Here is a 14,324-nt window from a genome sequence, read left to right as displayed (position 1 = left end):
ATCATATGAAGTCAGGTGTAAAATTTTCCATTTGTGGTATCATGTCAGGGGTCAAAAAATTTTGGATTTTGGAGCATTTTTGATTTTGAAATATTTGGATTAGGGATATTCTACATGTATATCCAATACCTACTTGTAAGCAGAAGATTAGCTCTCAATAATCATTTACTGAATGAACAGATACAAATTAAAATATATGTGAAAATACAATATAAGTAGAATAACATGCAAGTAGTAATGAAACATCTTCAACTAATATAAGAATTAGAATCCTTCATAGCTAAATAATTTGCAGACATCAGTAAGAAAATTTCGAACTCTAATATCTAAGAAAAAAGAGTACAAAGAGACAGTTCACCAAAAAATACACAGAAAAGCAATTAAGCATAATATTAATGAAAGGTATAGAAATCAAAACTAATATAATACTATTTTTCTGTCTATAGCAAATATGAAAAGATTCTACCTCAAGTTGACATACACCACTGGACACACACTACTAGAACAATTTTGAATAATACTTTTCCGGAAAATACTTTAGCAATATATATGAACAGCCATATCAATGCTTATTTCTTTTGATCCAGTATTCATTTAATACATGGAGTTTAATTCAATAAATATTTACTGGGTGGCATTTACATGTCAGTTACTGTAATTTTAATTCTGGAAATCTAACCTACAGAAATAAGTAAAAATCAGAAAATAACTTGATGTAGAAAGATGTTCAATACATTATTATTTAGAATAAAGGAACACTGACAATGACCTGGATGTGCAGGGGTGAGGAGAGTTCAGGTTTTAAATGGTGCTTTAACAATTACATAATACGTTAGCATCTGAGAATAGGCATACAAGAAAAAAAATCACTGGGAACAAAGATCAGAGAAAAATGTTTAAACTAAAACATACCTTCTTCAATATAAGAAGTACCCCTTGTAGTTTGTTTTGGCTCACTTGAACTTAGCAGGACACTTTGTCCAAAATTCTACAAAAATAGAATATTGAATTAAAACATATTTCCATATTTAAAATTCATAATATGTACATGAACTTTTAAAAAACTTTTAATTGCTGTATATATTTTTAGCTACAATTGTTCATGTAACTTGTATATTACATTTTTTAGAGCTGAATACAAGAATTATTATAATAAAGAATTTCTATGGTAATGGAATATTATGAAAAATGTTTTATGTCCACAAAAAAATTTTCAGATTATGATATTGTCCTGGATATTTGGAAGAGGTAAAGTGAGTTGGATGGTAATCAAAAGTGCTAATTAGGCTGACACGGTGGCTCATGCTTGTAATCCCAACACTTTGGGAGGCCGAGGTGGGCAGATGACAAGGTCAGGAGATCGAGACCATCCTGGCTAACACGGTGAAGCCCTGTCTCTACTAAAAATATAAAAAATTAGCCAGGAGTTGTGGCACGTGCCTGTGGTTCCAGCTACTTGGGAGACTGAGGCAGAAGAATCACTTGAACCCAGGAGATGGAGGTTGCAGTGAGCTGAGACTGTGCCACTGCACTCCAGCCTGGGTGACAGAGCGAGACTCTGTCTCAAAAATAAAAAAAAGTGCTAATTAAAGAAAAGGTAAAAAATTACCTTAAAGTTTCTAACCTAGTTGGTTTGTCATTGTAAGGGTGAATCATAACTATTAGCTAAAAGCATCTGACTACAGCTAATGCCAAGGATAGGTAATTATCTTACGTGACAAAACTTAAAACACAAATAGCTGCCCCAATGCTGCACAGAACCTTGAAAACGGAAGTCTCAGAACACTGGCAAAAAGTGTACACATCTAACACTTTCTGAGAGATACCAACTTCCCTTCCCTGAATATGGTCTACCTCCTTCTTTATTACCATTCTGTTTCACTTTAAGAAATAATTGTTTTCTGTCAGATAAAACTGCCTGGCTATAACTATGCGTAACTTTTCTTCAATCTGATCTGAGGAGAAACTGCAGATTTTTGCAACAGCTCTCCTTCAGTAGATCTCATAGTCTTGTTTGATCTCCATTATAGACTTGAGATACCTTGGACTGAAACCCTCGTGCAAAGTGGCAATTGTACTTTTTCTACCTTTCACTTATCTCTTTGAGATTTTCTCCATATAGATGTCATGGGCTGGAGAAAATCCAGTATGATAACATGCATTTCCTAATACAAGGTGACAAGGGCCACTGTTCTAGTGACTGAACCCTTGCTTAGGCTCTGGAATAAAAAACAAAAACAAGTCAAAATAATAAGGATGAAAAAATTTGATTCAGGAACACTGACCTATTCTTAGGCTAACAAGACTTTGGAAGGTGTATAAGTGGATGGGTGAAGATCTGTATGTGAAAGTGGAAGGGAGGCTTCTGAAAAGGACAAAAATGGGCTCTAAATACATTAAGCATGCAAAAGAGCAAGAGACAGAAAAATAGAATAAGACCTAGTAAAATAAAAATGAATTTACAGAGGGCACTAATAACAGGCATTTAAAATTTTGTTTGTTTGTTTCCTTGGTTATTAACTACATATTACTTTTAAATTTATAATATATTAATGAAAATAAGGAAAAAATAAGGGTAAAGATGTTTTTGCATTGTGCATTTTGAGACGTTGGATGGGAACATGGCAGTTGAAATGGAAGGACTTGTTAGGCATTGTTTTATTTGTAATCAGGAAGTTATATCTATAATTAACCATTACGCTATTAAGCAATAAAAATATATGGGTAATGTGATTAACTTTATTTCCATAAACATACAACTAAATGACTTGTTTTGCTGATAAGATTAGATCATTGTTGATTATTCTCCACATTAGTAATCTTATCCATATAAAAATCAGTACTTCCTATAATATACAAATTATAGCACCTTCAACCAGTAACTTGGAATATAAATTCTTCATAAGGCATTTTATTAAAAATATTCCAGTTTTATTAAAAAAAGTCAGAGTGATATTTAAAGTGGAAATTCCAAGTGAAATGCTATTTACTTATCTATCTAGACTTTTAATATTCTAAAGTCAATCCTTGGATCAAGTTAGACCTCTAGAAAATGCCATATTTGATTTCACTTACTTAGCTCTTACAGAATTACCTCCATTTATTTTAATTTTAATTTTATTTATTTAATTTGTTTTGAGAGACAGGGTCTTGCTCTGTCACCTGGGCTGGAGTACAGTGGCACAGTCATAGCTTACTGCAGCCTCAAACTCCTGGGCTCATGCATCCTCCCGGAACCTCAGCCTCCCAAGTAGCTGGGACTCCAGTGCCTGGCTTTTTTATTTTTATTTTTGCAGAGACGAGGTCTTGCTATGTTGCCCATGCTGGTCTTGAACTCCTGAGCTCAAGTAATCCTCCTGCCTTGGCCTCCCAAACTGCTGGGACTACAGGCATGAGCCACCACGCCTGGCCATTATTTTAAAATTGTTATTATGCTTTTTACTTTTATTGAAGACCTCTATCTTGAACAGCCATATTAAACTCTTTATTCATTTGTTGTGGAACCGTTATTAGGAGCATATTCTTTATGTATTTCAAAGTTCCCTATGAAAGGTCCTCAATAGGAAATGTTTTTTAAAACTGTATCCCCAAAACAACATCATTATCAATTTCCCTTGAGAATTATATAACTCATCTAATTTTCCTTTTTGCCATGTCTTCCAGGAAGCTCAGACACAAATAGGATATTCAGTCACATGAAACTATAGTTGTCTTTATGATTAGCATGCTTTTTTTTTTCTTTTTGAGATGGAGTCTTGCTCTTGTTGCCCAGGCTGGAGTGCAATGATGCGACCTCAGCTCACTGTAACCTCCGCCTCCCAGGTTCAAGCAATTCTCCTGCCTCAGCCTCCTGAGTAGCTGGGATTACAGGCACCTGCCACCACCCCTGGCTAATTTTTTTGTATTTTTAGTAGAGACGGGGGTTTCACCATGTTGGTCAGGCTGGTCTTGAACTCCTGACCTCAGGTGATCCACCCACCTTGGCCTCCCAAAGTGCCAGGATTACAGGTGTGAGCCACCGCGCCTGGCCTAGCATACTTGTTTCTTCTATCCAGGTCTCTAATTTACTTTACTTTCTTTTTAAAGTGTATATTTAAGTAGCTTTGTTGAATTTTGTTGTGAATGACCTCATTTTTTCCAGCATTGGCTATCAATAATAACAACTAAAATAATAATAATGATTTAAAGTTGGTTTAAAACTTTCATTAGTAACTGATTATACAGAACATAGCAAGTAGGTATAGTGGAATAATCTCCTAGCATAAAGATTCCAAGACTGCTTCACAAATGGCTTTGGCTATAATTATATTTATGTTGTGGTATACAGTTTACAGCAAGAGCATAGTCCTTTAAGAACCTCTGTTTTCCAAGCAATTTTTAAATATTGAATAGAGATTTTGATTAATACCATACTTACATTAATTTGCTCACTGTACTTCTGTCCTACAGATCCAGGGTTTTGTCTTTTCTGCTCTAAAATATTTCTCCGCTTAGTTTCAGCAATTCGTTTTCTTCTCATAACAGTAGACCCTTAAACAAATGCCAGCACAATGTTAAAAATTATGCTAGTTGAGTAGCCAATATATACCCACTGCAAATTTTCAAGTTACTTTCAAATATCAAGAAAACTCTGTAAGTTTAATTCATTCAGTTAGCATGCTTTATTGAGCTCCTCTTATATGCTCTAAGCATGGCACAGTTAAAATGATGAATTCAACAAAATCCTTGCTTCTGAGGGATTTATAGTTTAGAGCAGTAACCTCCAGAGCATGACACAGAACACCAGAAGATTGTGTAAGATAATCCACTGGTGTGCTTCAAGAACATATTAGAATTCCAATTCATATTTATTATCTAAAAATTAGAAGTTAAATTTTACTCATGTAATATATGATTGACACTGGCACCCTGGTTATTTTGCAAGTAGATGCTCATGTAATGCATGAAGTAAACTCAGTTATCTTAAAAGAAGAGTTAAAATTCCAAGCGTGAGAGGTTGACAGTGGTGTCATCATTCATTAGCTCTCGTTAGCTTCCTGCAATGTACTAAAATTTATGTGTGCCCAGGTAAGTGAATTTATGCGTATCTTATAGTATCTTAACAAGCTCTCACAAAATAACAAAGTGGCTAAAATAACTTTTGTAGGGCTTCTACTATATCTTTGATATTTATTATTTAAGGTGAGTTGTAGTTACATGAATGTTTATTATATTATTTTTCTTTTCTTTTTTTTTTTTTTTTTTTTGAGACAGAGTCTTGCTCTGTCACCCAGGCTGGAGTGCAGTGGTGCGATCTCGGCTCACTGCAACCTCTGCCTCCCGGGATCAGGTGATTCTCCTGCCTCAGCCTCCTGAGTAGCTAGGGCTACAGGTGCATGCCACCATGCCAAGCTAATTTTTGTATTTTTAGTAGAGACGGGGTTTCACCATGTTGGCCAGGATGGTTTCGATCTCTTGACCTTGTGATCTGCCCGCCTCGTCCTCCCAAAGTGCTGGGATTACAGGTGTGAGCCACTGCACCCGGCCTTTTCTTTGCTTTTTAATGACTACTTAAAAACATATTCTTGCAAAATCACAGATCAAAATAATACTAATAATGCAAGGATAGGTAAACAACAGCAAGGCCAACCCATTTCTTTTTCTCAATTACAAACTCTTTGCCACATAATGACAATGACATAATTATACCTGTAACAAACTTGGTATCACAAATTCAAAAATTATCAAAAAATTATAACTATAACTTTTACACTAAATGTATATTGTGCTGTGAGATATTAGCTAGTGATATACAAATTTAAAATTTTACTTTAGCTTATCTTTAAAAAATTTCCGATTAAGGTTCTTAATGTATATATTAGTACAGTAATACATGTGTATGCCATGTATGTGTTCAAAATTTTTATTAATAGTAGTACAATAAAAAGTCTTGGAATCCATTTGTCTAGAAGAATGAATATAAATGAATTATTATAGTAAAATGCTTAACTTGTATGTATAGCTATAAGTGGAATTAAGTGAAAGCACAGAGGGTACAGTGACTTTGCAAGAATCAAGAAAAGTTTCACAAAGTTTGTCTGACCTTGGTCTTAAAAGAGTAGTTAACCTTCTGAGCCTGCTTAAAAAACAAAAAAGGTAGTAGTAGGTTACCAAATAAAAGGGCACTTTGAGTCAGAAAGAACATTATGTACAAAGATGTAAAGTAATGATGATGCATATTTAAGTTTCTTGGGACCAAGGGTGAAAATTCAATTGGTCTGGGGCATCGATATGCATATGTGTATAAGCACTTAAATGTCTTGAGAAATAATGGAAATGTGTGCATGCGCTTTATGATAAGAACCTTACAAAAAAGCCTTTACCTTTCAAGAAAGCTAGCCAGTAACTGCATACCTGACATTTGAGAGTATGAAATAATAACATAATACCAGCTAATATTTAATTAGCATTTATAATTTGGCAGGTATTGTTCTAAGGGCCATAGGCACTATTATCATCACTATTTTTACATATAAAGAAATTAAGATGAAAAAATACTCAACATCACTAATCATTAGACAAGTGCAAATCAAAACCACAATGAGATACCATTTCACACCAGCCCGAATGGCTATTACTAAAAAGCCAAAAATTAACATGCTGGTGAGGTTGTAAAGAAAAGGGAATACTTAAATGCTGCTGGTGGGAATCTAAATTAGTTCAGCCATTGTAGAAAGCAGTTTGGCGATTTCTCAAAGAACTTAAAACAGAAGTACCCATCAACCCAGAAATCCCATTATTGGGCATATACCTGAAGAAATGTAAATTGTTTTACCATAAAGACACGTGCATGTGTATGCTTATTGCAGTACTACTCACAACAGCAAAGACATGGAATCAACCTAAATGTCCATCAATGGTAGATTGGATAAAAATGTGGTACGTATACAACATGGAGTACTATGCAGCCATAAAAAAGATCATGTCCTTTGCAGCAACATGAATGGAGCTGGAGGCCATTATTCTAAGCAGACTAACACAAGAACATAAGGAAACCAAATACTGCATGTTCTCACTTATAAGTGGGAGCTAAACTTTGAGTACATATGGTCATAAAGAAGGGAACAACAGACACTGGGGCCTATTTCAGGGTGCAGGGTGGGAGGACAGTGAGGACTGGAAAACTACCTACCAGGTACTATGCTTACTTCCTGGGAGACAAAATAATCTGTACACCAAAACCTAGTGACATGCAATTTACCTATATAACAAACATGCACATATACTTCTGAACCGAAAATAAAAGTTAAGAAAAGAAACAACAACAAAAAAGAAATTAAGGCAGGAGGGAGGATAAGTAACTTGCCCAAGGTCACAGAGCCAGTAAGGGGCAAAGCTGGGATTCAGCTCCAATTAGTTGGGCTCTAAAATCTAAACTTCTAGCTCTTACACATATGCTAGTAATTTTCATTCTGATTGATTGTGTCTCACAGAAATAAATATATTTTGCATTGTGACCTTGGAGACATATGTAGTTTTATAAAATATATTTATCCTCACAACGTATGATACCGTCTGGTAGTTTCCATTCTAGAATATTCTAATTCTAAAATTAGACTTCATTTAAAAAATACTGGTTACCAGTCGTTGATTTCACAATTGACGAACGAGTCATGTCCCACAGTTTAAAAAGCACTGTATTATGCTTATTTCCACCTGTATCAATATGCTAAATGCTATATATGCAAAATGTTATAGTTTCCACCAAGATAATTTTGGCAGCAATACAGTTTCTATGTTGTTTTCTATTCTTGGAATTTTCTTCCTCTAAATCTTGAGAAGTCCTCATCTTTATCTAAAAAGCTTTAAACACCTTGCATAAAAATTTCCTTGTTCACTTAACTGCTGTGTCAGGGTTTTATCTCATCCCTCAGTTTGCTCATCAATTTTCTGAAGTCACTTTTGTACTTCTTGATTGCATTATTTATCTTTGTGCTTTATTGTTCTTTGTAGTTTTGTGGATTGTAGATTATTGATCGCAGTTAAAGACACAGTATATACTTAAAACTGTTTATGTATTTTTCTATTCACATACATGTGCTTAAATATTACCTAACAATTAATACAAAAGCTGAGAACCTTGCTATTTTTGCAAAAATAATGTAGCTTGCACTGGTATCTCTGGCCAAATTCCTAGTTTCATATGAAAATTCTAGATAGGATAGTTTCACTACCAAACTCAAAATAAAGCTACTAATCTTCAATAAAGCATTATATTTAAAAAAATCTGTAGTATTCTTAATCATAAACACATGAAAAAATACCGGAGACATTCTCAAAATTATAGTTTTGGAAAAAATCTTAGGAGCCACTACCTCATGGGGGCATCCTCTTCCTTTGCTGGATAGCTCAAATCCTTCCTTATGCTGAGCTGAAAACCTCTCTGCAATTTTTACCCTTTCATTTCAGTTCTGTTTACTCCTTCTTCTTTGTCATAAGCCTTCAAATATTTGTACATAGCTATCATATCTCTTAGGCTTGTGTTTCTTTAACTGACTTTTAGACTGAACCTCTCCTCTCATAGCCCCGGGGAATCCCAGTTTGTTTATAATTCCTTAAAATATATATTATAAAATGACACAGAGTATAGCAGTACTTCTAAAGATCTGCTTGTTACTGCCTAAAATTATTGTCCAAAATTATAGTGACCTTGTAACAGCTATGGTAAACCTTTTTTGCTTTGTGTGTGTGTGTGTGTTTAACAAAGAAGAGTTATCAAAACAGGTATCTGCCTTCTTAGAAGTGTAAAACTGATTTAAAAAAGACTAAATACATACCAGCAACCATAAAGGAACTGACCACATTGAGAAAAACTTTTAGTCATTAGAAAGAGTAAAAATACCAATCACAAATTGGCAGAAAATAATTATAACACATATAATCTATATTGGATCTGTATATACAATATGTAAAAAACTTCCATCAATAAGAAATTTAAAAAAATAGAAAAATAGGCAATGACAAGAGCAGACATTTCACAGGAGAATGCAAATGATGCATAAACATATAAAATGTTCAACTAATTAGTAATGAGGACAATATAAGTTATCATAATTAGAAACTTTTCAAGGAATACATTTGCATTTTTATTATATTCAGTTTCCAGACAAATAGGGCTAAAGTTTTTCTATGCCTTTTTATTAAAACCTAATTTATTGCTTTTTAAAAAAAATTTTAAGTTTTAGGATACATGTACAGGATGTGTAGGTTTGTTACACAGATAGATGTGTGCCATGGTGGTTTGCTGCACCTATCAACCCATCACCTAGGTATTAAGCCCCGGATGCATTAGCTATTTGTCCTGATGCTCTCCCCTCCCCACTCCAAGACTCTAGTGTGTGTTATTCCCCTCCCTGTGTCCACGTGTTCTCATTGTTCAGTTCCCATTTATAAGTGAGAACATGCGGTGTTTGATTTTCTGTTCCTGTGTTAGTTTGCTGAGGATAATGGCTTCAAGCTTCATCCATGTCCTTGCAAAGGACATGATCTCGTTCCTTTTTATGGCTGCATAGTATTCCATGGTGTATATGTACCACATAATTAGAAACCATTTTATACTGTATGACTGAAAAACATTAAAAAGTTTATCAGACTTTTAGTGAAGATGTAGTAAAGGGAAATTTCATATATTACTCTGGAAAACATTTTGGATTACCTAGTAAAGTTGAAAATACACATCCCATATGGCTCAGCAACATGTGCATCAGTAGATGTCCAAAGCTGTTCTTGGAAGAATTATTCATAAAAGGAGGAAACTAGAAGCAACCCAAATGTCCAGTGATAGGAGAATGAAAACATTGTTTGAACATTCATATAATTGAATGTGATTGCAGCAATGAATATGAAGTACAGCCAACCTAATCAATCTAAAAAACAAAGTTGATTGGAAAAGGCAAATCCCAGAAGAACACAGATAAAATAATTCCATTTATAGAAGTTTCATAAGTGGACAAAATGACATATCGTTTGCAATACATTCATACGTGGCAAAATTATAAAGAAAATCATGGAATAATTAACATGAAATTCTTTTTTTTTAGATGGAGTCTCACTCTGTCGCCCAGGCTGGAGTGCAATGGCGCAATCTCGGCTCACTATAACCTCCACTTCCCAGGTTCAGGTGATTCTCCCTCCTCAGCTTCCAGAGTAGCTGGGACTACAGGTGCGCGCCAGCACACCCGGCTAATTTTTGTATTTTTAGTAGAGACAGGGTTTCACTATGTTGGCCAGGCTGGTCTCGAACTCCTGACCTTGTGATCCGCCTGCCTCAGCCTCCCAAAGTGCTGGCATTACAGGTGTGAGCCACCACGCTGGGCTTAACATGAAATTCTTCATGGTGTTCATGTCTGTAACGGAGGAAGGGGATGCAATTGGGAAGAAGCATATGGGGCTCTGTAGGTATTGTTTTTTTTGAGACGGAGTCTCGCTCTGTCCCCCAGGCTGCAGTGCAGTGGCGCGATCTCGGCTCACTACAAGCTCCGCCTCCCAGGATCACACCATTCTCCTGCCTCAACCTCTCGAGTAGCTGGGACTACAGGCGCCCTCTACCACGCCCGGCTAATTTTTTGTATTTTTAATAGAGACAGAGTTTCACAGTGTTAGCCAGGATGGTCTCGATCTCCTGACCTCGTGATCCGCCCGCCTCGGCCCTCAAAGTGCTGGGATTACAGGCGTGACCCACCACGCCCGGCAATTTTTCTTTTCTTTCTTATTTTATTTCATTTTTTTTGGAGACTGGGTCTTGCTCTATTGCCCAGGCTGGAGTGCAGTGGCATGTTCTTGGCTCACTGCAACCTCCGCCTTGTGATTGAAGCGATTCTCCTGCCTCAGCCTCCCAAGTAGCTGGGATTACAGGCGCCCACCACCACGCCCAGCTAATTTTTAAATTTTTAGTAGAGACGGGGTTTCACCATGTTGGCCAGGCTGGTCTCAAACTCCTGGGCTCAAGTGATCCGCTTGCTTTGGCATCCCAAAGTGCTGGAATTACAGGCGTGAGCCACGGCACCTGGCCGCTATTGGTGATTTTCTATTTCTAAAAGTGAGCAGTGGGTACAGGGTTCTCTTATTATCAGTCTTAACTTGTTCTTATATGTCACATACATTCTTTTCTATGTCAGATATATTTCACAATTAAAACTTTAAAAAGTATGCCAGGCACCATGGCTCACAACTGTAACCGCAGCTTCTTGGGAGGCTGAGGCAGGAGGAGCTCTCAGCCCAGGAATTCAAGTTCAGCCTGGGCAACGCAGTGAGTCCCCACCTAAAAAAACAAACAAACAAAAACAACGCAACACCTCCCCCCGCCCAAACCTTAAACAGTAAACTGAATGCAAATAAATGTATGACTTTATAGCTATCTCTGCTAAACTGAACTTAACTGGTTTTGATTTGCCAGTTCAGTTAGCCAGGATGATTCTGAAGCTTGCTTCCAGCCTCGATTTCATTAGTAACTTCCTTTGATACTCTGTGCCATCCACAAACTGTATAGATCAATGTACTATTTTTTTTTTCATGTGTATTATGAAAAATCTGTTGTTATTCAGAGTTTTAAAAAAACAAAGTAAGGCTGGGCACGGTGGCTCACGCCTACAATCCCAGTACTTGGGAGGCCTAGGGAGGCGGAGCACCTGAGCCTGAGCTCAGGAGTTTGAGACCAGCCTGGGCAACATGGTGAGACTTCATCTCTACCAAAAATACAAAAAATTAGCCAGGCATGGTGGTGCGCACCTGTGGTCTCAGCTACTGAGGGGGCTGAGATGGGAGGATCGCTTGAGCCTGGGAGGCTGTTGCACCAAGATTGTGCCATCACACTCCAGCCCGGGTGACAGAGTGAGACCCTTGTCTCAGAAAAAAAATAAAATGAAGAAACAAAGTAGCTCAATAGTTAAGAACATAGAATCATAATGCCTTAATTTTGAGTATGCCACTTACACTAGCTATGCAATTTATACAGTCAATTATCCTCTGTGACCCAGTTTCCTCATCTATAAAATGGGCGTAAGAATATTATTTACCTCACAGATTTATTGTGAGAATTAACTTTGTTTCAATATTTAAAGTGCTTAAATAGTGATTGGAACATAATAAATGTTACCTAATTTTTGCCTAGGATATTTCCTCATTTATAAAATGGGACAGTTTAAAAGAAATTGTCACATTGGTCCTTTCTAGTAATCAAATTTTTGATTCTGTGAAGATATTCTTAATAATTATTGGAAAAGAAAAAAATATTCTTTTTGAAATCAGATTTAAATAATGTGTCAACATCATTTGGCTTAAAAAAAAAAAGGAAGTAGAATCTATGTATAGAAAAGTGCATGAATTGAGAATAAACAGATTATATACCCAAACCCAGATTTCACAGCCACTCATGTCAAGAAACTGAATATTACTAGCACCAAAAATGCTCCCCTCATTACCTGTTTCCATATACCCACCTGCCATAGTTTCACCTGTTCTTGATATAAATGGAGCAGAAAATGCATTTTTATTGTGCAATATGTTTCTTTTGCACAATATTATGGTGTGAGGTATACCCACACTGCTGCTTTTCAGCAATAGCTCATTTATATTATAGTATTTCATTAAATGAACAATGGAATTCAACTCTATATATTACACTATTGAAGAACATTTTGGGTTCTTTATATCTTCTGGATATAAGCCCTTTGTCAGTAATATGCATTGCAAATATTCTCCCACTCTGTGATTTGCCTTTTCAATCTGGTAATGGTTTTTTGGATGAAAATAGTCTCTAATTTTAATCTACAATTGATCAATCTTCTCCTTAGTGGTTTGTTCTTTTAAAGTATTGTGTAAGAAATTGCTGTCCATCCTAAATTATAAATGTATTACCTATATTAGCTTCCAAAATTTACTTTCCACATTTAGACCTGCAGTTCATCTGGAATTAATATTTGTGTATGTGGTAAGATAAGGATCATTTTTACTAATTCTATATATCCTATTGATGAATTATAAGATGAACTCTTTGTCCCTGCTATACAGTGCCACCTTTGCCAAAAATCAAGTGTTTAAATATGTAGGTCTGTTTCTGGACTCTCTATTTAATTGGTCTAAATATCCTGTAAAAATGCCATATTGTAATAATTACTTTAGCTTTAATAATATCTAGTAGTTTTATAACTTTGTCCTTCAAGATTATTGCATTTGTTCTTTGCCTTTGCATTTCCATATAAATATTAGACTCAGTTTCTCAATTTTCACAAAAATCCTATTGGAACTTTGATAGAGATTATACTACATTTACGGATTAGTTTGTGGAGAATTGCCTTCTTTTTAATACAGACTTTTCCAATCCATGAACATGGCATATCTTCCCCCTGCTCCGCTATTTCATAGATCTTCTTTAATTTTTTTTCCATACCCCTACCCCTGCCTCTTTTAAGTTCTCTCAACAGTGTTATAGCCTTCTGTGTAGAAGTCAAGCAAATCCTCTATTATACTTATTCCCATGAATTTACATTTCTAAATGTTATTTAAAAAGTATCATTGTTGGCTGGGTGTGGTGGCTCATGCCTGTATTCCTAGCACTTTGGGAGACTGAGGCAGGCAGATCGCTTGAGCTCGGGAGGCCAAGACCAGCCTGGGAAACAAGGTGAAACCCTGTCTCTGCAAAAAATATAAAAATTAGTCAGCCATGGTGGCATACACCTGTAGTCCCAGCTGCTTGTGGGGCTGAGGTGGGAGGATTGCTTGAGCACAGGAGGATGATGCTGCAGTGAGCCATGATAAAGCCACTGCACTCCAGCCTGGGTGACAGAGTGAGACCCTGTCTTAAAATAAAATAAAATAAAACAAAATAAGTCAAATAATTAACATTAAAAAATCTGTGTTAAATTTTCCAGGTATCCCCTTCTAAAATCCTAAAACATGTCCACTAAACCTATCAATTATTCAAATTTATTTTCAATTTCCCATTCACACCCAATTACATATTTAGGAATCATATCCTATTTCTAGGGTAAAATATATTGATATTCATTAGTAACAGACAACACTAAGTTCTTTCTCTGTTAGTGTCATTTTCCTACAAAATTTCTCTCAATTGACATCTTTTCCCTTAAGGTTTGTTTTTACCTTTATCTAAGCCCCTGGTGGGCTTATTCCTTAACAATCTTTGTTCCTTTTTAGATGAGAAAGCCCATAACTTATACTATGAGGAACTGATTTGCTCCTCTAGATATGGGCTCATATAGTTTAAGTGTTTCCAGGCATATTATTTCATTCAGGCTTTATAACTTTGAGCAATCCTTTTATTTATC

General features: G+C 35.8%; 1 protein-coding gene across 2 annotated transcripts in view; it reads right to left on the bottom strand.

Moving 5' to 3' along the window:
• CEP126 (centrosomal protein 126) overlaps window positions 1-14,324 on the bottom strand; it is an 86,053-nt gene that overhangs the window by 18,186 nt on the left and 53,543 nt on the right. For both annotated transcript variants that reach the window (NM_001363543.2, NM_020802.4), the window contains 2 exons: window positions 4,418-4,530; window positions 913-988 (listed from right to left, as the gene is read on the bottom strand). In NM_001363543.2, coding sequence (NP_001350472.1) covers window positions 913-988; window positions 4,418-4,530 — 189 coding nt within the window. The remainder of the gene's footprint in view (window positions 1-912; window positions 989-4,417; window positions 4,531-14,324) is intronic.

Source organism: Homo sapiens, chromosome 11, assembly GCF_000001405.40.
Source record: "Homo sapiens chromosome 11, GRCh38.p14 Primary Assembly".
Classification (NCBI taxonomy): domain Eukaryota; kingdom Metazoa; phylum Chordata; class Mammalia; order Primates; family Hominidae; genus Homo; species Homo sapiens.
Note: the sequence above shows the minus strand (reverse complement) of the source record. Positions and strands in the feature narration are given on the sequence as shown.